The 26,713-nt window shown below is 42.0% G+C and overlaps 1 protein-coding gene across 12 annotated transcripts in view, besides 1 other annotated feature; it reads right to left on the reverse strand.

The window, feature by feature from the left end:
• The window catches only part of CTNND2 (catenin delta 2), a 932,611-nt gene that overhangs the window by 253,047 nt on the left and 652,851 nt on the right, over nt 1-26,713 (reverse strand). For all 12 annotated transcript variants that reach the window (NR_109988.2, XM_017009074.2, XM_017009072.2 and 9 more), the window contains one exon: nt 11,809-11,941. Coding sequence is in view for 11 of the 12 variants with exons in the window: in XM_017009074.2 (XP_016864563.1) it covers nt 11,809-11,941 (133 nt within the window). In the remaining variant the exon portion in view is untranslated. The remainder of the gene's footprint in view (nt 1-11,808; nt 11,942-26,713) is intronic.
• Nucleotides 4,035-4,204: an enhancer, noted in NCBI's record as "experimental_80752 CRE fragment used in MPRA reporter constructs". NCBI's record gives its function as "activates a minimal promoter by MPRAs in K562 erythroleukemia cells, with activity observed for the non-introgressed 5:11229114 variant allele {active_cell/tissue: K562}" and the evidence as "EXISTENCE:reporter gene assay evidence [ECO:0000049][PMID:34662402]".

Consider the following 26,713-nt stretch of genomic DNA (forward strand, 5'->3'; position numbering starts at 1 on the left):
TTTGTTTTTATCATACTTTCTCAGTCATTTTTGGATTATTACAAGAGGCTACTGTAGGTTACTGGGCAGCCCTTTTTGGCTTCTTTTACATCTTCCTGCTGTGAAGTGTGATATATGAAATGGTGTCTCTGTGGTTCAGAGCTCTAAATTGGAGTCAGAAAGTCATTGTGAGAAAGACTGCCTGTGTGTCTTGCTAACTGGCAACAGCAACAACAAAAAAAACCAGGAACTTGTCTTGACCTTTGAAGTGGGTCAAACTGCAGTGACCACCACATTCTGGAAAACAGCTGAATTTCTCCAGTATTGCAACCCCTGAACAGCGACCACCAGTAAACTATGGACGCATGTTCTAAGTCAGCCACCTCTACCAATGATAATTCTCCAAAACAACTTGTGTAATCACTCTGAGCTTCCTTTTGGTTTTCTCTTAAAATCCTCTACTCCCCTCTGTCTCTTCAGAAGCCAAATTGTTTCCTGAATTATAATTCCTAACATTAAGACCCCTATAAACACCACCTTGTCTTCTTGAACTGCAGTTTGGTCTTTCACCTGTTCTTGGTTGACACTACCCAGTGAATTTACCCATTTCCCATCTTCTTCAGAGATTCTCTTCCTCTTCTTTTATATCACCAGCTACCCCTCCTTTGACCATTTCATAGATTCCACAACCTGGTGAAGCACTGTTTCTTAAGATGTATTTCTTTCCAAACCACCCTGCCAAAAAGCACTCCCAGCTCCTTCTCCTCTGATATTAATAATAAGGCACTGGCCTACGTGGTTTATGTGATCCAACCCTGGGATATTACCTGTCTGATCTCACCTCCTACCCCTCGCCACCTCACTTGCTAGGTTCCAGCCACACTCTTTGTTACTCCTTGTTATAGGTTGAATATCGTCCCCCACAAAAGATATATTGAAACCCTAGTACCTGGGACCTACAAACGTGACCTTGTTTGGAAATAGGGTCTACATAGATGTAATCAAGTTAAGATAGGCTAGGTCCTAATCCAGTACAACATAAGCCCTTATAAGAAGAGGAGAAGAGATACAGAAAGAAACACGCCTAGAGGAGATGGCCATGTGAAGACAGAGGCAGAGATTAGAGATAAAGCCAAAGAATGCTGAGTACTGGCGGCCACCAGCAGAAGCCAGGCAGAGGCAAGGAAGGATTCCACCCTGAGTTTCAGAGTGACCATGGCCCTGCCCCTTCTCAATCTTGGACTTGTAGCCTCCAGCATCGTGAGAGAACAGATTTCCATTGTTCCACATCTCTCAGTTTGTGGCACTTGGTTCCCACAGCCCTTGGAAGCAAGCACAAATGAGCACATGCCTTAGAGATCTAGCTCTGAGGTACTCTCTCTGACTGCCTTCAAGCTCTGCTCCGAGGCTACTTCTCAGAGATGGCTTTCCTGACCATTTTCTACAGAATGGCAGCTGCCTCTCTTCACCCACTCCTTATTGCTGTCCACCCGCTTTACTGTGTTGTATTTCCTCCATAGCCCACATCACCATCTCACCCATGATGAATGTATGCCTGTGTATTAGTCCTTTTTCACATGTCTGATAAAGACACACTCGAGACTAGATAATTTATAAAGGAAAGAGGTTTAATTGACTCACAGTTCCACATGACTGGGGAGGCCTCACAATCATGGCGGAAGATGAAGAAAGAGCAAAGGGACATCTTACATGGCGTCCAACAAAGAGAGAATTTGTTCAGGGAAACTCCCCTTTATAAAACCATCAAATCTTATGAGACTTATTTACTATCACAAGAACAGCACAAGAAAGACCTATCCTCATGATTCAATTACCTCCCACTGGGTCCCTCCCATGACATGTGGGAATTATGGGAACTACAATTCGAGATTTGTATGGGGACATGGCCAAACAATATCAGCCTGTATGTGTTTATTGTTGCTTCCCCCTACTCATGGGGGTCTATTTTGTTCACTGCTGGATTATTGAGGTCAAAAACAGAGCCTGCAACTTTATAGCTGCTCAGTGATTATCTGTTGAATATGAATTAGTTCCACTTTCACATATCAATATATCAAGTACTTGGGTCTATATGTTGCTTTATGTTGGTATGTGCAGATGGCTTTTTGATTCTAACTTCCTAAAGGGCAGTAGTTGAATCTAGTTGTGTAAACAGTGGCTTAGCACAGAGCCACACACCGTGTGTGTGTGTTCAATTTCCTTTGCTGACAATAGCAGATCTCAAAACGTGGATGATGAACAATACAAGTATTCTGTCTATAAAACTATGGAATTGGTTTTACATTTAACTGTTGGAAAGAGATTTCCTTATTTATTTTGCAGCACATGCTAAAAATAACTCATACTCCTTTGCCACCTGCTCTGTGCTGGCAGTCTACCTGTGTTCTCTCTGCCATGATATGGAGTCTCAACGCAGTTTCATAGTCTGGGAGACTGAGTCTCAGAGAGGTAAAGAAACTTGCTCAAGGTCATGGAGCTAGAAAGTAGTACAGCAGCCAGGGTTCAAATGCAGGCAGCCTGGCTCCAAAGCCGTTGCTATAAGCTCAGTGGTATCCTCTCTACTGATATTTAATCAAAGAAATACAGGCTCTTTTCCAAAAATGTGAAACAATTTATGATGAAAGAAAGAGAAGAAATGATTCAAAGGTAGTTGACTGAAAAGATGAATAGCACATTCCCTCGAACTATATGAGGTAGAAAGAACTAAGAATAAAGTAGAAATTATGAAGCACTTTAAGTCTAGTAGACAGGAACCAGTCTCAATTTTTTTAACAGATGAAATGTTCTAAATTTGTTGGAATAAAAAGTTATGGGGGAGGGGAAAGGTATGCATATTTTATGCACAGAAATCAATTTCTATGTTCCATACTTAAAGGTAATCTGAATTTAGCCAAAATATTATTATAAATGATATAAGTATATTGCAACTATCTAGTCTAGACACACAGACACACAAACAGACAACTGCAAATATGAGCTGTCTTCCATGAGTTCTAAGTGGGTATGCCTTAGGTTATATTTTTCTGGCAACTTCTAATTTAAGACTTAGCATGGCCATCAGTGTAGGAAGCAGGCTGTTTTCCCTGACTCCACAAGGCTGGGATGTAAGCTGGACTCTCGCCAGCTGTGGCTTCATCTCTTCATCATGCCTAACACATGGTATTAGAATGCCCTGTTGGCTGGGCGTGATGGTTCATGCCTGTAATCCCAGCTCTTTGGGAGGGCAAGGCTGGTGGATCTCCTGAGGTCAGGGGTTCATGACCAGCCTGGCCAACATGGTGAAAACCCGTCTCTACTAAAAATACAAAAATTTTTAGCCAGGCGTGGTGGTGAATGCCTGTAATTCTAGCTGCTTGGGAGGCTGAGGCAGGAGAATCACTTGTACCCAGGGGGCAGAGGTTGCAGTGAGCCAATATCGTGCCACTGCACTCCAGCCTAGGCAACAGAGGAGACTCTGTCTCTCTCTCTCTCAAAAAAAAAAAAAAAAAAAAAAAAAACAAAGAATGTGAATGCTCATTTTACTGCTGTGGCTTCACCTCTCCATCATGCCTAACACATGCTATTAGAATGTCCTGTTTACTTATTTTCTGTCCTGCAGGTTATGGATTTTTTTTTTTTTTTGAGACAGAGTCTTACTCTGTCACCCAGGCTGGAGTGCAGTGGCATGATCTCCACTTACTACAGCCTCGTCCTCCCAGGCTCAAGAGATCCTCCTGCCTCAGCCTGCCAAGTAGCAGGGACTACAGTGGGGCACCACCATGCCCAGCTAATTTTTGCATTTTTTGTAGAGACAGGGTCTGGCTATGTTGCTGATGCCGGTCTCCTGAGCTTAAGCAATCCTCCCACCTCAGCCTCCAAAAGTGCTAGGATTACAGGCATGAGCCACCACACCCGGCCAGATTCCTTAAAGACAGGATCTATATGCTATTGATATTTGGACCCTCCCACTAACACAAAGCAAGCTATCAGTACACTCTTTTGCTTTCCACTAGGACTGAAAATTTCATTTCTTTAAAAACAAAAATGTTTTATAGCAGTTAGGATGATAAGGTAATTGGAAAGATTGTTAGGAGTTAAAAAAATAAAATCAATATTGATTTCCTAGAGCAAGAATTCTTACCTTGGGCCTGTGTAAGTTTACTATATAAGATCTGTAAACACTTCATATATAAGACAGCTGAAGCTACTTTTTGATATAACAAAAAGTAATCAGGTCGAAACCTTAAATTACATCTTTATCAGTGCTGGTCACCGGACATTTCTATCAAAAAGAAAGGAGTACAAGTCAATCCTTCTCACATATAAAGTCACATAATAAAGTTTGAATTTTTGAAATAAGGCATGTTTAAAAATGAGGCATGTTAATAGGGATGGTCTATGTTTAAAAGAAAATACATTTTCCAATTATTTGAACATTTATAATTTTTGTTAGATTAACTTAAAGTTTTAAAAAGTTAATTGATTTATTAACTTATAACAAAATAAAATATTTAGCTGGGCATGGTGGTGCACACCTATAATCCCAGCTACTTGAGAGGTTAAGGCTGAGGACCACTTGTGCCCAGGAGTTCAAGGCTACAGCACGCTATGATTGCACACCACTGCACTCCAGCCTGGGTGACAGAAACAGGCCTTGTCTCTAAAAATAAATAAATCAATAGAAATATTTAAACATTTAAAAATAATCCCTATATGCCACTTGAAAATGTGCAAACACTTTTAAACCACTAAGATACATATTACCTTGAATGCAGCCATATTGCGTGTGTGTGTGTGTGTGTGTGTGTGTGTATATATATAACTGTGTATATATACACATATATATACATATATATACAACTGTGTATATATACACACATATATACATATATATACTGTATAACTGCTTTCATGTATAACTCTTTTTGTATAACTGTGTACATACACACATATATATACATATATATACTCCTCTTTTTGTATAACTGTCTGTATATGAAAGGGGGTGCCACCTGCATGCCAACTCTGGTGTGTGCATTGGAAGAAATGGGGGAAAGTACAGGCAGGAGGAACATAAATAAACTGCAATCCTCACTACCCATGAAATGCACTTAGTATCCCCAAATCAATGGGATACTCATAATATTCTTAGCTGAGGTGAGTTTCCAAAAGAATGAAGAAAGGATTCATTAAAAATCCGCAAAAGGGACATGGATGAAATTGGAAACCATCATTCTCAGTAAACTATCGCAAGAACAAAAAACCAAACACCACATATTCTCACTCATAGGTGGGAATTGAACAATGAGATCACATGGACACAGGAAGGGGAATATCACACTCTGGGGACTGTGGTGGGGAGGGGGGAGGGGGGAGGGATAGCATTGGGAGATATACCTAATGCTAGATGACGAGTTAGTGGGTGCAGCGCACCAGCATGGCACATGTATACATATGTAACTAACCTGTACAATGTGCACATGTACCCTAAAACTTAAAGTATAATTAAAAAAAAAATCCGCAAAAGTTAGCAACATTTAGTCACCTCCTAAAAGATGCTTATAGTCCATACACCTGAGGAAGTGTCCATGTTTAATAATTCCTCTGTCTAAAGGCTTAATTTATGGTGACTTTCCCAACAATCTAGGAGACAGTGTAGATGACAGACACAGTTCAAGGAGCACTGCCATCCATCCACACTAATCATGCCTGCGCCCTTTAAAGTGGGAGGATCCACCTCCATCTCAGATATTCATTCACCCATGAATACGGACCACACTAACTTACTGTGTTTGCAGCAATCACCTGAACCCTCACTTTATTCCTTCTCCTTCTCCCATCCTCTTTAATTTTTCCTTGACTGCTTTTCTTCTGATCTTATCTCAGTCTGGCTCTGACTACTGCCTATGTGACTACACTTCTATCTCAGTTTTTAAAAACTTGCTGATCTACAAAGTATTTAAAGCTAATGTCCTACCCTGGATCAGAGAACTCAGTGGAATTCAAACTCTGCCTTAGTCACTGGAGATTGCTGAGCTAGATCCCACCCAGCCCTCCCTCCTCAGTTCACCTCACTGCTGGGAGGGTGATATGGTTTGGTTCTGTGTCCCCACCCAAATCTCACTTTGAATTGTAAAAATCCCCATGTGTCAAGGGCAGGACCAGGTGAAGGTAATCAGACCATGGGGGTGGTTTCCTCCATGGTGTTCTCGTGATAATGAGTGAGTCTCACGAGATCTGAGCATCTGACATTTCCCCTGCTTGAATACATTCTTTCTCCTGCCCCCGTGAAAAGGTGCCTTCTGCCATGATTGTAAGTTTTCTGAGGCATCTCCAGTCCTGTGAGTCCATTAAACCTCTTTTTTTAATAAATAACCCAGTCTTGAGTAGATTGGTACCAGGAGTGGGCTGTTGTTGTAAACAGACTTGAAAACATGGAAGCGTCTTTGAAACTAGGTAATGGGCAGAGGTTGGAACAGTTTGGAGGGCTCAGAAGAAGATATATAGAAGTACAAAAGTTTGGAAGTTCCTAGAGACTTGTTGAATGGCTTTGACCAAAATGCTGATAGTGATATGGACAAGGAAGTCCAGGCTGAGGTGGTCTCAGATAGATATGCGGAACTTCTTGGGAACTGGAGCAAAGATGACTCTTGCTATGCTTTAGAAAAGAGACTGGCAGCATTTTGCTCCTGCTCTAGAGATCTGTGGAGCTTTGAAACTGAGAGAGATGATTTAGGTTATGTGGCAGAAGAAATTTCTAGGCCACAAACCATCCAAGAGGAAGCAAAGCATAAAAGTTTGAAAAATTTGAGGCCCGATAATGTGATAGAAAAGGAAAACTCATTTTCCGGGGATAAATTCAAGCTTGCTGCAGAAATTTGCATAAGTAACAAGAAGCCAAATGAACGTTAATCACCAAGACAATGGGAAAAATGTCTCCAGGGCATGTCATAGACCTTCAGGGTATCCCCTCCCTTCACAGGCATGGAGGCCTGTGGGAGGGAAAAATGGTTTTGTGGGCTTGGCCCAGGGCCTCTCTGCTCTGTGCAGCCTCAGGACATGGTGCCCTGCGTCCCAGATGCTTTGGCTCCAGCCATGGCTAATAGGGGCCAAGGTACAGCTCAGGCCATTGCTTCAGAGGGTGTGAGCCCCAAGCCTTGGTGGCTTCCATGTTGTGTTGAGTCCGTGGGTGCACAAAAGTCAAGAATTGAGGTTTGAGAACCTCTGCCTAGATTTCACAGGATGTGTGGAAACACCCTGAATGTCCAGGCAGAGGTTTGTTGCAGGGGTGGAGCCCTCATAGAGAACCTCTGCTAGTGCAGTGAGGAAGAGAAACAAGGGGTTGGAGCCCCCACACAGAGTCCCCACTGGGGCACTGCCTAGTGGAGCTGTGAGAAGAGGGTCACCATCCTCCAGGACCCAGAATGGTAGATCCACTGACAGCTTGCACCATGTGCCTGGAAAAGCTGCAGACACTCAACATCAGACTGTGAAAGCAGCTGGGAGTGGGGCTGTACCCTGCAAAGCCATAGGGCAGAGCTGCTCAAGGCCATGGGAGCCCATCTCTTGCATCAGCGTGACCTGCGAGTGAGACATGAAGTCAAAGGAGATCATTTTGGAACTTTAAGGATTAATGATTGCCCTATTGGATTTCGAGCTTGCATGGGGCCTGTAGCCCCCTTGTTTTGGCCAATTTCTCCCACTTGGAAAAGATGTATTTACCCAATGCCTGTACCCCATTGTATCTTGGAAGGAACTAACTTGTGTTTGATTTTACAGGCTTATAGGTAGAAGAGACTTGCCTTGTCTCAGATGAGACTTTGGACTTGGACTTTTGGGTTAATGCTGAAATGAGTTAAGACTTTGGGGATTGTTGGGAAAGCATGATTGCGTTTTAAAATGTCAGGACATGAGACTTGGGAGGGACCAGGCATGGAATGATATCGTTTGGCTCTGTGTCCCCACCCAAATCTCATTTTGAATTGTAATAATCCCCAGATGTCAAGGGTAGGACCAGGTGGAGGTAATTGGATCATGTGGGCGGTTCCCCCTACTGCTGTTCTCATGATAGTGAGTGAGTTCTCACAAGATCTGATGGTTTTATAAGTGTCTGGCATTTCCCCTGCTTGTACTCAATCTCTCTTTTGTAGAAGGTACCTGAAGAGGTACCTTCTGCCATGATTATAAGTTTCCTGAGGCCTCCCCAGCCATGCAGAACCGTGAGTCCATTAAACCTCTCTTCTTTATAAACTGCTCAGTCTTGGGTATTTCTTCATAGCAGCATGAGAATGGACTAATACAGAGGGGAACTGAGGAGATGGTCTTAAATCCAAGTTCACTAGAGCAGCAGGAAAAGCCAGGGATGAGGATTTTATCTGCTGACTTACGGAAGCAAATTCTCAAAATTGCACATATAAGATCTGGTATCATTTTGAAAAAAAATTGATGTTCTTGGCTTTATTATATGAAAACCGTACAAATCACAGGAATAAGGAACAAGAAAGGCATGATTTATGACCCTCTGCATATAGAAGATGTAGTTCTGCCCTTCGTTCAATGGCCTACCCATTGTGTGAGCAAAGTCAATATGAATGATGAAATGTAGACTGAAGGGCTAAATCAGTTCAATAAAATGCAGTAGAAAGACTAGAGGACTGAGTAAATTTGGAAAGGCTAGTGCCTGCAAAATTAGTATTTGGACAACAGGTAATTACAAAATTCAATGTCTGTGTATGAAAACACGACAGGCAGCCATCTGTCACAAAGGTAGAACCAATTACTAACAGTTTGATCTTGGAGTGAGGATGAGAGAACAAAATAGATCTGTGTAGAATCCTTATTAGAGTTTACGTGTCTGTGTGTGTGTGTGTGTGTGTGTGTGTGTGTATGTGTATATGCACATATGCACGCCTCCCTATGTGACTGAATGGGAGAAAGAAAGGGAAACTCTGGAAGCTTCCTCTGTGTTTTATTTAAGCCTTTTGCACTTCCCATGTTCCTTTGGCTAACACTTACTAACTTCAATCTCATTTTGTCAACTCAGGATCAGGGTGCGCACTCAGTCATATACCACCCTTCCCTTCCTTCTCATCCCAGCCTCCCAGGTCCCCTGGGAACATTATCATGGGGCCTGGAAGTGTTTGCAGCCTTTAGAAGGTAGCATGGAGGGCTGCCATCAATAACATGAACTGCTGCTAGGAGTGCCAGCTGCTGGGGGCCACCCCAAACAGTGAGAAGTGATACAGGCAACCTTGATGGCACCCACAGCAAAATTAAAAAATAAACAGAAGCACACATATGTACACACACGCAGAGACAGACACACACACATATGCACACAGAGACACAGGCACACACACAGACACATGTACACACAGAGACACATATATACACACTGACACTTAGAAATATACATAAAATAAAACAATAACTTTAGTGTCTTAACCGTTCCTGGCCAAAAAGAAGGTGGATGAATGCACATTTCGCTACTAAGCAGTTTGTATATGTTAAGTCATTTAATTCTTGCAAAGATTCTACAGAGAAGGTATCAGTATCTTCATTTTAAAGATTAGAAAAGAGGCCCCAGGATAATCAGGTAGTTCAAGGTGACTGAGCTGGTAAGCAGGAAAGCCAGCCCGGGAAGCTCATCCATCTGCCATGACTCATGTGCTGGTTGCCCCTTCACTGGAAGGCCTGTGTTCACCACAGTGCACTGGGGGTCATTCTGATGTAGCCGGAAACAAGTCTACAGCTGCTGTCACTACAGCTCTTATCAGGTGGCATTGCCACTGAGAGGCCCCAAGGCTGGCCCATGGATCACGTTTACAGAGCCAGTTAGACCATGACTTCAGACTTCCCTGGGCCATGAAGCCTGCATTGCCTGGCCGGGTGACTCCTTGTAATAGAGTCTGACTCTATCTCTTGATGTTTGACTTCTGACAGCTTTGAAGCCTCACCCTTCCTTCCTCTGCCCCACATCTGAGCAAGCTGATAAAACTCAAGAGCTTCCTTTTTTGGTATCCGCAGGAGTTTCAACCCGTACAAGGCCCAGTCTGCATGTGAGAACCCACTTCCCACAACCATAAAAACTCCACGACAGTTTCCTTTCCATAAGCTTTCTCAAGACAATTTTGGACATGCCTGGGAGCCACTGTGCTTGGCCTGGAAAGCCTCACTGTGTAAGTGACACCTTTTCAGGCCCTCTTGGTGTGTGAGTCATGCCAGCAACCTTGGCATCAGAACAACCAAATTTTGGGTGGGAGTCCATCCCACTTCGGCGGGGCACTACAACACTCTTGAATCAATTCATGCTAACGATGAAATGAAATGCTTTCATGACCTTCAGAGAAACCCTCAAAGTTATAGTCTTCAAAAAAGAAGACTGAAAGAAAAGTTATAGTCTTCAAAAAAGAGAAAAGTTATGGTCTTCAAAAAAAGACAACATATGATGATGGTATGTGATCCCCCAGTCAGAAATCTGTCCTTTATTTTGCATGGCCATTGTTTTTTCTATTAAAAATAGAGAATGACTAAGTTAACATATGTTTGGGACAGGAGTCACGTAACTTTAATGCATTTTTAGGTCACTTTAACAGTTGGTATTTTTTCACATTTAAAATTTTTCTTAGATGGACAATATTTCTCTATATCTAAACTTTGGCACTGCTGACATTTGGGGCTGGGTGATTCTCTTGAGGGGGCTGCCCTGCACTTTCTGGGATGTTTGGCAGTATCCCTGATCTCTACAAGGGATACCCACAGCCTCCTCCAGCTGTGACAACCAAAGATGTCTCCAGATATCAAATGTACCTTGGGACAAAATCACACCTGGTTGAGAACCATTGCTCTATATTCATTCCACAAAGAAACAGGACTTTCCTGATAAGAACAAACATGGACCATGTTCTTTGCAGTCCCAGGGGAAGAGAGATGGAAAAAATAAAAAGCCATGAGGCTATGTATATCCCAATGCAAGCAAGCAAAATCTATAATAAATTGCAATTTTATCTTCAAATCTCTCTTTCCACTCTTAAACTAATTTAGACTCATCCTCAGAATTGCTTACACGCCATAAAGATGACTCGTTATAGTTTATAAAATCTTTTTGAAAAAAATGACTACTCAGTTCCTTATACGCAAATGCTTGTCCCTTGTCTAAAAAACTTAGATTTGGCTGCAGTGACCACTGTGATTTTCCAAAAATATCACACAGCATAATATATGCACTTCATGTATCCCAAAAACACAGAGCATGTTAACAGTTGTTTACATGATGGACATGGACAATAGTCTCCTTAATGGAACACATATCCACATTTAATCCATTATTCGTTTGTAAATAGCACCAAACACTTGGTTATAACACAAAGCCAATTTAGTGCCTAGAGTCCTTATCCTGTCAATGAGTTCTTCAGGAAGGACAGGTCATAGCTTATACTGACTATAACAATTTTATTGTAATTTGGAGATAACAATTGATGTTTAGTATGTCTTTAGGATTTAGGGGCAGAGAAAACTCCCAGAGTCGGAATTGGGAAGAGAAAGACAAATCACGTTCCAAGTATGGCATTTGACAATCCAGCCTCTATTAATAACTAGCATACACTATTGGTCCTCTGTTCCTCGGTATTCAAATACTAAAAAACGAAGAATGCATGAACAGGCATGCTAATCAATTAGATGAAACATGCTATGTTCTAGTCATAAATATAGATCTAAATTTTAAAAGCATAACTTCAGTTCTCCTAATTCTTTTCCCCATCAACATTAAGAAGATCTAAGTGCTTATGAATCTGACACCAATCATTTCAGAATCCAAGGAGCACTGACCTCGGCTTTAATTTTGTTGTCTCCAAAACAGAGGTGTTGCAAGTAGGCTGCCGCGTTAGACTGGACCGAGGGAAACTGGTGCTGCAACATCTGAATCACTTCCGGCAGTTCCGGGTCTCTCCATCCAAATTCTCTGAACAAAAGGAAAGAAGCGGGGAGAATATGAGAGAGAAATCCTACCACACTGTTAACACATGGTTAGCTCGTGTATGAAATGTACCTGACTCTAAAAGAAAATATTTCATAAATGACTGTTCTGGTTTTCTTACATGCAGACCCATTTAAGGGGATTTGGAAGAGATTCCCTTGAGTAAATAGTTTTCTTTCTTTTCTTTTTTTTTTTTTTTTAGACAGAATCTCACTCTGTCGCCCAGGCTGGAGTGCAGTGGAGCGATCTCAGCTCACTGCAAGCTCCGCCTCCCGGGTTCACGCCATTCTCCTGCCACAGCCTCCCAAGTAGCTGGGACTACAGGCACCCACCACCACGCCTGGCCAATTTTTTGTATTTTTAGTAGAGATGCAGTTTCACTGTGTTAGCCAGGATGATCTCGATCTCCTGACCTCGTGATCCGCCCACCTCGGCCTCCCAAAGTGCTGGGATTACAGGCGTGAGCCAGCGCGCCCAGCCTAGTAAATAGTTTTCAAGTGCAAACGTGTATACTACATATATTGGTTTTATAGATTATATATACAGATCAATCTATCAACTGAAGTTACATGTTAATAAAGATTATGAAAAAATAACCTAAAATAGCATATGATTTTAATATACACATTTTCATTTAAGCTTGAGTGGATTATTCATTTATTTATTTTTAACTTTTTTAAGAGATGGGGTCTTACTGTGTCACCCAGGCTGGAGTGCAGTGGCATAATTATAGCTCACCGCAGCCTCAAACTCCTGGGCTCAAGCGATCCTCCCACCTCAGCCTCCCAAATAGCTGGGGTTACAGGCATGTGTCACCACGTCCGTCTTAAATGGATCAGGTATAGAGGTCATATCTATTCTAGTATATTGTTTCAATAGTCTGATTCAGGCACAGGATTAAGCTAAATTATCAGACAAGAGAAAACAGAATTGGATGAGTCCAATCCAAAATGTTGTGATAGCAGCCAATGTTTATATCATTATTATTTTTATTACTGTTGTTATTTTCACAATCTCTTCTTTAAAAATAGACAGGGGCCTACATGATTCTCTGGGGATAAAAATGTAATAACATAATGACTTTATAATAGGAAATTATTTATTTAAGAAGCTAGAATTATTTGCAGAATGTTAATACATTTTATGCATTGCACTTTCTTTTTCCTGTCTCCTCCTTTTTACATCTGAGCTACTCCAAGAAGCTGGTTGTCATCTTAAGCAATATGGTTTAAAATATTTAAGTCCATTCTAAAACATTATCTTGATTGTACTGTCATACAAAGAAATATTCTTTTATTAAATCTCTCCACTCAACCAGTTAGACCATGCTGCTAACAGGACGAACTGTATGAATTCTATCCCTGCAGCAGGGAACCAATTTTTAACAGAGAAATAAAATAGCAACCTCCAAGACCACAGGTAAAAACTTGACCCCACAAGCCACCAAAGGGCACTATTTATCCAAAGAACAGGCTGGAAGAGAAATGAGTCAGTTCTGCAACCACCTCTATTCCTCATGAAACAACTCAAAAGCATACATCCTATCAATGCCAGGTCGATGCTGTCATCTGGGAAGAGAAGACATGAAAAATGGGACAGAGAAGGAACAGACAAAGGTTAAAAGTGTCCTCAAAGATTTTAACCTCTTCTCTTTATCTTTCCTTTATCACAGTTGGTAGAGGTTGTCAAGTAAACCTTGAAACATGTTGGTGCTTCCTTTACAGCAAGTGAATAAAATATGAAATAGAATACCTCTTGAAATGGCTTCGTTTTTATTGGAAAGATAAAGCATTCTATTTAATGTGCACTGAGCATTTTATAAATTTACATACAGTCAGACAGATTATATATACACACACAGATATATATACACATTATATATATACACACAGATATACATACACACTATATATATACACACACACACATACTCAGAAAGACATACAGTATAATAATATACTTGTGAAGAAACCTACTCAAGTGATTGCTGATAATGAACAAACTATTGAATCCTTCTTGGCTATGTGATCACAGTAGAAAACAATCATAGAATTAAAAATGTAAAGCCTGTTTTTCTCTCAAATTTAATTTCTTTTGTTTTATAATTCTAAACCACGTCTGCAAGGCTCAGATAGCACAGTCCTTCTTATAAAAGTAGCCCTCTAGAATTATATTCTTTATGCAAATTAATTCGAAATCTACTAAATACCTGTAAATTAAAATTAGGAGTGTGGAGACACTGGATGGCTAAGATGAATTCAGGTAAACCTATGCTTTTGGAAAGTGATTAATAAAGGATTCATTTTAATCTGTTTTATTAACCAGTCAGGAATTGCTCTATTAGGTGATGGCTTACACGGCATATGCCAAGTGCACCTTTTGAACAAGAACCCTAGGGAACAGGTTTAGGGGCTCTTTGCACACATGCGTGCACCTGTGCACATGTGCTTGCACACACCCTCAAACTCAGACAGGAAGGATGGACATTCCAAAGACTCATGAGTGCAGAAGGGATCCACGTCCCTCACACTAGGTCAAAAGAAAGGCTGCTGCCAGCTCTGCCCTGTCCCCAAGCCCAAAACCTCTGGAATCCCAAGCATCCCTTCCCTCCCCACTTCTGTTCTCCCAGACCTCACCTTCACTCTGCTGATCTGCAAATCTCCTCCCACCTCCCAATCACCACTCTTCCCACCTGAGGCATTTAAATACATTTAAATACGCAGATACGCACACGTGATTGTGCTACTTTCCTGCTCCACACCCTACTATGGCTCCCACCATCCTTGAGAGTCTAAGACACTCCCATGACCTTGGAGGCCCTGCTGGGCTCGCCCACTCCTGCCTCACAGGCTTCTGCCTGGCCCTGGCCTGCCTCTGCTCCTGTCCTCCTGTCCCCTGGCCTGCCTGGCCCAGTGGCCTCCCACTCAAATGCGGGGCCTCAGGCTCTTTACAACTTCCTCGGGGAATCCCGTCCCAACTCCTACCCACGCAATGCCCAGTGGAGGATGACACCGTCATGCTGTGGGCCATGAGGTGACCATCTCTCGCTTCACTCTGGTAGGCTCTGAGGCCAGGGCCCCAACTCTGTTGGTCATCTTTGTCAGCTGGCTCCTACAGTTCTCCCTGACACCAGATGGACTCCACATAAACGTGTTTTGAAAGAATGAAGGTGCTAACGAATGAAGAAAGGGCTTGGACATGGACAGTGTTTCCACAGTTCTACCAGTGACTCTCAGAAGAGCAAGAGTCATTCCTAGATTAGCCACACAACACACACACACACACCCCCAACACACACACCCAACACACACACACATTCACACACACACCAACACACACACTCACACACCCAACACACACACACACACCCCCAACACACACACCCAACACACACACACCAACACACACACTCACACACCCAACACACACACACCCAACACACACACACTCAAACACACACCCAACACACATACACCCAACACACACACACCCAACACACATACACCCAACACACACACATTCACACACACCCAACACACACATACACTCACACACCCAACACACACACCCACAACACACACTGACACACACTCACACACACCCAACATACACACACCCCCCAACACACACACTCACATACACTCAAACACACACCCAACACACACACCCAACACACACACACCCAACACACACACCCAACACACACACCCAACACACACACTCAAAACACACACCCAACACACACATACTCAGCACACACACCCAACACACACACCCCAACACAGACGTACATACACACCAAACATACCCAACACCCAACACACTCACCCAATACACACATCCAACATGCACACAGACACCCAACACACACACACCCAAAACACACACTCAGCACACACACACCCAACACACACACATCCAACAGACAAATACATTCAGCACACACACCCCCAACCCCCACACACCCAACACACACATACACTCAGCACACACACCCCCCAACACACACCCAACACATACACTCAGCACACACACCCCAACCCACACACACCCAAAACACATACACTCAGCACACACATCCCCAACACACACCCAACACACACACTGAGCACACACACCCAATACATATACACCCACATCATGCACACACACCCAACACACACACCAAACACACACACCCAACACACACACCCACCCCAACACACATGCACACACACCACACACACCTAACACCCAACACACACACACCCAATACACACACCCAACATGTACACACACACATCCAACACGCTCAAACACACCCAACATACACTCACACACCCAACACACACAGACACACACAGAGGAGTCCTTCTCCATGCTGCTAACCTGAGCAGCCTTCTCTATGCCTCCATCGCATCTCACAACTCTGTGGCTTAAGATTCTCCAGTGGCTTCCCACTGCACTTAGACAACAATCTGTGAGGGTGACGTGAAGGTGCAACATTTATGGGGAGCAACTCTGGGGCACAGTGAAAGGGAGTGAAGGAGAAAAAGCCCCGATCATTAAGCCAGACAAGACTGGAAGGTGAACGTAAGTTAGCATTCAGATCCTCTGGCCTTAAACCAGCTTCCCAGAAATTGGGTTGGAGTTGATTGTGTCTCCAGGCAGTTGACTTCTGGTTTATTCTAATTGGCAGTCCCTCAGGACTCAGTCACTGCAGCAGTTACCCACTAAGAAAAGACTAATCTTTTCAAATGTTCTCCTCAATTTCACAAAATAGATGCTAAAAGAGCACCCTCCAGCAGAAAGTCTGGGGGAATGATTTATCTCCAAGGCTCTTTTTCTATAACAGTTTTGTTTCGCTTAGATGAGATTCCGTTTGGTTTTCTTTTTGCTGATCATGGAGATATACCCCAGAGAAATAGCAGCAGGCCTGCAGAAAATAGTCTGTCTGGATCATTTCGGCCAGAATTCAGTGTATAGTATGGTTTCTTCACATAAGGTCTTAATCCTTAAGGACAAAGAGGATCCTGTAAGACAAAAAAGTTCTGGAAAGAACAAATACCAGAGGAGGGAACAGCACCTGCCAAGGTGTGGAGTCACCGGGGGTGGGGGGTCGGTTATTTGGGAAAGGGGAGCCATTCAGCATGTCTGGGGCATGGCTCTGAAGGGGATGGGGGCCTCCAGAGAGGACGGCTGTCTGGGAACAGGGGGAGTTGGAGCAGGGGCTGGAAAGCAAGTTTGAGATGAGATCATGAAAGATCATTCATTCAAATACAAAAAAATCTGAACCTGGTCTGTGGATACTGTTGTGAAAAAGAAATCGAGTAAGATTTGTTTAGAATTACACAACAGGAAGATAATAATCTCCAGTAATAACGTGAGCGCATACTAAAAGTCAGTTGCCAAGGTTCTCTGGTCACACACTTTAATGTTCTAAACCTTAACGAACATTGTGTGGTTTATTTTCATCTTACAGAAGAGGCAACTTAAGGTGTTATTGAACTTAAGTGATGAAGCTGGAATAAAATTCTAGTTGTCTCCTCTCGAATCCATAAATATAGCCATAAAACTATGTTGCCTGCTATAATCATTCTCTTGAAATAATGTCTAAAACAGTGATTTTTAAAAGACAATGTCTAAAGAATAAATAGCGTCTAAAACAGTGCCCCTCCGAGGACATTTAGCAAAGCCTGAAGACAGTTTTGGATGGCACCCGTGGAAGGCGCTGCTGGCATCCAGTGGGTAGAGGCCAGGGAAGCAGCCAACCTTATGCAGTGCACAGGACAGTCCCCACAACAAAGAATTATTGGTCCCCAAATGCCACCAGAGCCCGAGTTGAGAAGCTCTGGTCTCAACATGTACTGTATTTGATTAGTTTTGTTGAGCAAGGATGTTGTAAATCTTTCCCTCCTTGACTGTTGTACTAGAATGAGCACAGGATTTGGCATCAGAATACCTGTCAAGAAGTTCAGAATTTGAACATCTGGCTCTGTCCCTTTTATCCCATAAATACAGGACAGTCCCTTAGATCTTGCTGGCCTTGGTTTCCATGGATCAATATATAAAGAATAATACCACCTATTTTACTGCATTTCTCTTAAAATGCCAAAATAAAATAATATATATGAAAGTGCTTGATCAACTACTAAGAGCTAGATATTTTCTAGTAATTTTTACTTTAAGACTGCCAAAAGGGATACATTTCTCTTAAAATCTATGTAATACCGCTGAAGGTTTTATAAACCTTATAACCTTTCACTGATACGTATTCATTTAGACATTATACTTATTTGAAGAACTCTTAGTGTAAAGGGAGACACTGCTTCAGCTAGCAGTACAATTTGCCCTTTCAAAATAATTTCCTTTCTTCCTAACTCCCCTTGGGAGGCAGTGTGCTAGAGTGGGAAATGGTCTTTGGATGCAACCAGACTTGGTTCGAATCCTGCTCCACCATTAACTGTCTCTGCAGCCTTGGGCTTGGGTCTGAGTCTTGCTGGCTGGCAGGGAGGTGCTCACTGTGTAGATGAACATCGAGTCCATCTGTCCCACTGAGATAAAAATTCCTACCTGGGAGTATTATTGGGATGATTAGAAATAATATATGTGAACCCCTTAGAGCAGTGGCTGGCACCCAGCATGGGCTCTCTAGAAATGTCAGGTATTGTATATAACTAAGAAGAGGAGAAATGAGAACCCTCTACAATTTCCCACAGTAGCCAAACTCGTAACTCTCATTTGTGACTGGGCTTCACTTTAGAAATGTTAATGGAAATGGGGATATGCAAATGTAACCTTTTCTCCATTAAAACTTGTCACACAGGCCCACAATATTGTGAGTAAATCCTCACTCTTACATGGGCTATCTGAGTTGTTAAAATCAAAACGCTCAGCACAGCTAAACAGCCAACAGTTCATGACTATGTTCAACAGTTCATGACTGTTCTGCTGGTACGGAAACCAAAAAGTTGATGCATTGTCACAATATCTTATCAAGCTTCCCCATTGAAAAGAGTCCCAGGACAACTAGAATCCTCACAATTTCACACTATTTTCAGCAAAGCTTTATGGTGGCAGACATGGCTCACTTTGATTGCAATCTAAACTATTTCTATTGAGGGCAGGGCTGTGTGGACATTATTAAAATGTATGATAATTTTAATCCTTTAGAAACTCTAAACTCAAAATGTTTTAAAGACTGTACCGATTTTGACTTTCATATTTAGAGTCAAGAGGAAGTAGGTGATTTTGTTTTTCATTTGGGCTTATTGATGTAGTTAGGAAGGGTGCAGGGGTGATGGTCATAAGTTAGATAGATTTTTTTAAAGAACAAAATGGAGATATTTACATTCTTGTTGACCAAAGAGAACTTATTCAACAATTAACATATAAAAGTATTAATATCTTAATCCTCATTCCTGGATAGTTTGTAACTAAAAACAAAAAGCTGTCCTATACAATTTTTTTTTTTTTTTTTTTTTTTTGAGACAGTCTTACTCTGTTGCCCAGGCTGGAGTGCAGTGGCGCAATCTCGGCTCACTGCAACCTCCACCTCCCAAGTTCAAGTGATTCTCCTGCCTCAGCCTCCTGAGTAGCTTGGATTACAGGCACCCACCACCACACCTGGCTAATTTTTGTATTTTTAGTAGAGACAAGGTTTTGCCATATTGGCCAGGCTGGTCTTGAACTCCTGACCTCAAGTGATCCACCCACCTTGGCCTCGCAAAGTGCTGCGATTACAGGCATGAACCACGGCGCCCGGCCTGTCCTATAAAATTAATCACATTTTTTCAAAACACCAACATGGCTTTTATATAAACAATAGCACTAGAATTATGACTATCTGGAAAGTAAGCTCAACGGTTATACCATTTTTAAGGAAGAAATGGCCTTCTCCAAGCATATGCTAAGGAAAATTAATTCCCCAAACTGTATCATAAACATTAATTCATTCAACCATGATTTCTGGTCCTGGCCTCATGATGGAGCAGCCACAGATCTCCCTGGAGAAGTGCTCAGCTCATGGGGGACTAGAAGGTGCTCCACCCAGCCAGCAGCTCCTCCTTCCAATCAGATATTCCCTTCTCATATAAAATTTGTATTATTAATTATACCCAAGTTTTCACAAAAGATTGAGGCAACTCAGACAAATTATATATGAGATAAGATGACAAAACGGAAATGAAAAATCAAGTACACAAAAGAGAGAGAATTCAAATGTTATAAACACAGGGTCAGCATTCATGCCTGATTTGCATCAAATTTGATTATTTCCTTACAAGTAGCCCTGACAACAGGAGAGAAATGAACAAAGGCGAAAAGGGGCTATTCTTGTTCGTTCAGTGAAAGGACAGAATCCCCACTGGGAATTTAGGGGGCAGGGATCTGAGACCTTTTCTACCTGTCCCTATATTTGTGATAAAGACTCTGGTTAGGACACTGGGAAAGACTGAAGAGTGGCCCCCAACGTTATCCAGGTCCTAGTCCCTAGAATCTGCTAATGCTGCCTTCTATGGCCAAATGGACTTTGCAGATGTGATTCAGTATCCTGAGATGGGAGATGATCCTCGGTTAGCCAGTGGGCCCTAAATGCCATCATAAGTGTCCTAAGAAGAGGGACGCAGAGGGAGACTGGACGCAGAAGAGGGCAATGTAACACTGACGCACGAGGCCATGCTGCTGTGCTGAGCATGGAGGAGGGGTCCACGAGCCAAGGGGTGCAAGGAATGCAGCTCTACAAGCTGGAAAAGGCCAGGACAGTTTCCCCTAGAACCTCTAAAGGGAGCCTGGCAGTACAGACACCTTGACTGCAACACAATGAATTTCTGTTGGATTTCTGGCCTCCAAAACTGTACGAGAATAAATGTGTGTTGTTTTAAGCCACCAGTTTTGTGTTAATCTGTATTAGCAGCAGCAGGAATCTAACACAGAAGCCCATCTGACCCCAGGACACGGCCCTTTTAAGCCTGGAAAGAGACCACCCCATTAGGGCAAGAAGGTGAGAGAGGCCAAGAAGCACCACCTCTGATTCCAATTTGGAGAGTCTTCGATGTGACTTTTGATTATGAGGCCGACTCTTCCATTGATTTACTCTGACTTTCTGACCACCTCTCGTTCATCTAAGAGTTGGAAATGCAATTTCCCTGAGCTTCGGCTTATTTCAGTAGGGCCCAGTAGCTTTCACCTCTTGCCATGTTCCTGCAGGCTGCCTGCCTGCTTTGTCTAAGGATTCAGTCAGGAACCCTCTCACTCCTCCAAACAATGTTTAATGGCCACTGCGTGTTTGTCCAATGGAATACAGTGTTGAATGGAGCAAAGGTTCCTATTCTTGGGGAGCTGACTTTCGATTGGTCACTGGTCATTAAAATTATTAAAAGAGCAGAATGTACTATTTGTCAGATAGTGATACATGTGTAGTGGGTTGAAGAGTGTCTCCCAGAATTCATGTCCTCCTGGAACCTTAGAACGTGACCTTATTTGGAAATAGGATCTTTGCAGATGTAATTGAGGTAAGGATGGAAATGAGATCAGACTGGATTGGGGTGGCCCCTGAGTCAAAAGAGAGTGCCCTCATAAGAGACAAAGGAAGACACAGACACAGAGAGAGGCAATGTGAAGAGGAAGGCAGGGGCTGGAGTGATGCAGCCACAAGCCCAGGGACACCGAGGATTCCGGGCACCACCAGAAGCGAGAAGAGGGGCAGGACTCTCCCTCAGCACCTCTGGAGAGACGCTACACTGCTCACACCATGATTTTGGTCTGGCAGAATCAATTTCTGTTGTTTTGGGCCACCCAGTTGGTGGTGCTTTGCTATGGCCACCACCAGGAAACTCATACAAGTTGGATGGGAAAGTAAAGCCAAGTAGAGACAGGGACACGACAGTCTGTGTGTCTGTAGGTGGGTGGGGGGGTGGGGGGTGGTTATTATAAATACAGAGGCCAGGGGAGACTGCTCCGAGAAGGTGACACCGGAGCTGAGTGGAGGGAACATTCCAGAACAGGAAAACGGAAGTAACAAGCCTCTGAGGCAGGAGTGTGCCTGGCATGTCAGACAAGAGGTAAGAAGGTCACGGGGTGAAGAGAAGTGAGTCCCGGGCCCTACTGGGAGACCAACAGGGGGCCCTGATGTGTCCGACATCGCAGGCCTCTGGCTTCTGCTCCAAGACATAGGGAAGCCACTGGAACGCTGGGATCTGACTCACATTCTTAAAAGATCCCTTTGACGGTGGCTGCCTGGATGTGTGCATCTATTGACTCTCATAAACTGCAGGCCTAAAATCTTGCATTTCTTGGGTATCAATTACACCTGGATGATGCTGAGTTCTGGAAAAGGCCCCCGCTGGATGCTAGGTTAAGAACAGATTCTGAGGGGTGGGGCAGGAGCTGAGAGCAGTTGGGGGCAGATGGTGGCTCAGCCCCAGCAGGGACAGAGGGTGTTGAGAAGCACGGGCAGTCTGGATGCCCTTTGAAGGTAGAGCCTGCAGGAATTCCTGGAGGGGTGCATTTGAGTGTGAGAAAAGAAAGAGGCCCTCTGTGAGACCCTATGCAAAGCCTACTCCACGCCTCCCACCCATATCACTGGGGGCCTGGGCCCACTACGCAGGTTAGTCAAGGAAGGCCACCTTGTGGGGACTGTGGGGACTGGGATCTCTTGTTTCACAATTAGAAGGAACAATTTCAACTAGCAAGTTTTCTCCTGGCTGGTAAAGTGAAGAGAGAAAACAGTAAAATGATGAGAAAATTGGCTATTTCTGAACTATTATGGACACTAAGTGCCTTACATTAATCTTAGTCAAGCAATGGGCTTCTTCTCTGAATTCAATTTATTAGAAGTTAGGGGTGAGGAATGATGTAAAATGATTAGCCCCAATTTATGCTAATAGTTATCAAATTTAATTACATGTAGCTTAAATATTAACAAATTTCTGCTTCTATATAGAATATTTAGGTCCTTTAGAAGACATAAATATTCTCAAAGACCATTAGATTACAATGGATATCATCAATTATGTCATAATACCTATGCAATATCCAATTAACTTTAAAACAGCATTTATTCATTCATTAATGCAACTAGACTTTTTCAATAAAAATATGCTACAAAATGGAAAAAATAACCTCAAACATGTAAGAATTTAGTTGCCCTGGAAATTCTAACAGGTTCTGTCTGGTGGTAACAGCCCAAGGGAAAAAATACAAATTAGTGTCCATAAACTTTACCTTGTAAAGCATGATGACTTTATAGAAAATGTTTATGTTCACCACTATGTATCTATTTTAAAATTAACAGCCCGTGATGTTTCTTAGAAAATCACCTGGAGCTGTGAACCTGGAGTGTAAATAAGAGGGAAGGGATTTGATGCCCAAAATACTCGGATCAGGAGATTTAAGAACATTTGAGCAGTGTTTTTTACTTTGTTGATATCAGGGTAAGATCAGAATTTTGCCTCAGGATTAGATTAAGAATTTGAGAAAACCACAAAGGCCTTGGTCACCCTCAAAATGTTTTATTATACATACATATATATATATATATGTGCATGTGGGCACATGTGTATGTATATGTGCAGATCTGTGTGTATAATATATAGTGTGTAGATATTATATATGTATAATACATATAGTATGTGTGTGTTTGTACTTATGCACACATATAATGCATATATACACATATAATATACATGTTACAGGAAACTTGATACATAGACTTAAAATACATTGTGTATAAACCATAGACTAGAGCACACTTTCTTATAAATTAGGTAACCATACCACTTGACAATTGTCCCTGAGAAAAATATAAATGGTGCACTTGATGAATCTCTTTATGAAAACTTAACTTCTGATAGAAGCCACAATGATACAGGTAGATGCATTCTAATAACAAGAACACCATCTCTTGAGATTCCACACTAAGCTCTGTGTTTCTGGAAGTGAGAACGTGTCCTGAAGTACCTGTCACAGTGTCTTTACAATGTGAACCATGAACACATACTTTGGGGCTGACGGTTTACCGGAGTCTAGTCTTGGCTAGAACATGATTTAACAATATCCATTTTTGGTTTTCATCATCATCACCTTATCTTAGTTCTTCGAAGAATGCCAACTTAATTTATCTCAGATAATATTGAGCAGAGATACTTCCTCTAAAGAAAATCTTAATAGAATCTAACAAAATGTGGTCTAATTTGGCCTAACATTTGGTCGCTGTGCTCTCCAAAGCTGTCAGCCTCTAGTACCAAACACTGGTTCCTGCCCTCAGATTGTAGTGGGCAACACAGTGGGAGCAGAATTATCTACCAGAAAAAGCCTGTTATCTAAGAAGGAAGAGCGTACTCCTTGTTCTTGTTTTATGGGTTCATTTCCTGATAGGCCATGTGGTGTGGCATTCAGGAAGAGTGTACTTCAGAAACAAGCTGCTAGCAATGTCACTGCCATCCAACCGAGGGCATCAGGATCACACCTGTGTTTGAACCAAGTTGGGCTTATTGCTCGTAATAAGAAAGGACTCACACCATGGGAAACCATGGGACATATCAGTAAGAGGGCGTTGAATAGACTGACAAAATTTGACTTGTTTTGTGTGTCTTGGGAAGATTCAAAGGAGCAAGGCTTTGTTCTGGATTGGGTGCTACGAGGATGTAGGGGAAATTTCATGGTCAGGGGGCTTGAATAATCTTATCTAGAAGGAGAAAAAACAGAGTAATGTTCAACCTGTGATTGGCCAAGAATGAGCAGTCATTCATATCAGCCAGGCTACTGTGAGTTGTGTGGTCATTTTTGTGGTTTAGGGACCATCATATTTTCTATTCATATTTACCATTCGTATTCATATTTGACACTTCAGTATAATTTTTGAGGAATGACTTCATGGATTACATTAGATTGTTTTAACCTGAAATACATTAGGAATGGGAGGAAAGCTTTTGAGTGTGGTTATTTAGCCGCTAGAATAGTACAAAAACAAACAAAAAAAAAACCAAAAATCTAAAGCCATTTAATTAGATCTACAGTCATTAGTGTCCATGTCAAAAAAAAAAACCAAAACACACTCATCTATGTGTATTGCTTCACTTTGTCCTTAAAGAAATCCTAAAGAACATATGAATATTTGGGCATATTCTTAATATGAGGATATAAAGGGCTGCAGTGTCCAAGTGTCCATTCATAATTATTTCTCATTACTAGACATTAAAAGCAAAGCAATTCCATAGGGATTTTCTTTGATCATATTTCAGAGTACTTTGCTATAAAACTTTTAACTTACCTCCATTTCCAGAGTCTGCATTTCTTTAAATATAAAATGTGGAGAATATTTTCACCCTTCAGTTTGAATAAAATAACCAACAGTGGACCATGGGTGAAAAGGCTGTTGAAAGGCCCAACTATAGGTCATTGTCTTGGATGATTCTGTATCTGTACAACTGAATACATAAGCAAGTTTTGTTTTCAAGTGCAACAATAATAAAAAATAACGTTGATTTCAATATAATGGTACCCAATTACCTTTCATTTCTACCCATTGATAAAGTCTTAGACTAGCCTTTTTCTTACTTCTGTGTCTGCTCAACTCTAAGTAGAATGTGTGTAATTAATTTGAAAATTAATTGAAAGTTTGCGGTGAATTTAAAGGGTGCTCTCTCTCTCTCTCTCTCTCTCTCTCTCTCTCTCTATATATATATATATATATATACATATATTTTTTTTTTTTTTTAGAGACAGGGTCTTGCTCTGTTGCCTAGGTTGGGGTGTGGTGGTGGATCGTAGCTCACTGTAGCCTTGAATTCCTGAGCTCAAGTGATCCTCCTGTCTCAGCCTCCAAAGTAGCTAGTACTACAGGCACGCACCAACACACTCAGCTAGTTTTTAAATTTTTTCTACAGACAGGGTCTCACTAGGTTGCTCAGGCTGGTCTCCAACTCCAAGGCTCAAGTGATCCTTCTGCCTCAGCCTCCCAAAGTGCTGGGATTACAAGCGTGAGCTACCGCACCCAGCCCATAGACCTTTATAATTTAAAATGAGGTAGAGGGGTACACAGGGCAGATGGAAGACGTTTGACTACACCATAAAGACTAAGTGGCAGAGACACATAGTTTTGTTCGTGCAAATAATAAATGCATCTATGATCTTTTTCACTAATTAAGAACGATGGTTTCTTTATTAAGCATTTTAAAAGGTCTATTTCCATAGCAGCAAACTGAAGCCACTAGGAAAAAAAAGAACTTGGGTCTTTAAGAATGTTGGTTTATTATTTAAGTGTTGTACAGATTTATTTTTTATAAATCAAATATTTTTTATTTGTGAGAAGTGACTGAACACAATTATTGGCCGGAGTGTTTCGGCTGCTTGACTTTATAGAACTTGAGTTTCCTGAACTTTATGGGTTCACAAACCTCTTCATGTTTCACAGGGTGCCCCCCAGGCCAAAATAAATGCCTGACAGTTCCATTTAGTAAGTTCTTAGGTCTGAACAGCTTGAATCATCTACATCCTAACATGTCCGTGCTTTGGGGCACTGCACAACTTCTCAAAACTTGGAAGCAGACAATGCCATCTTCACATCCTCTCCTATGCTGATTGTCACTAGCACTTGCTTCATATCACAGAAACCTCTGAAAATCCTGGTATGCAAAGTGATGACATCATTGAAAGGAATGTGGCACAGCTGGATTTTGAAACTGAACTAATGGGAGCTCATGTTTCAACCTGGTTTCAAGATACCGTATTTATCTTGAAAATTTAAAATATCCCTCGGAATCCCTCGAATTTCCTATG

Source organism: Homo sapiens, chromosome 5, assembly GCF_000001405.40.
Source record: "Homo sapiens chromosome 5, GRCh38.p14 Primary Assembly".
NCBI classification, from domain to species: domain Eukaryota; kingdom Metazoa; phylum Chordata; class Mammalia; order Primates; family Hominidae; genus Homo; species Homo sapiens.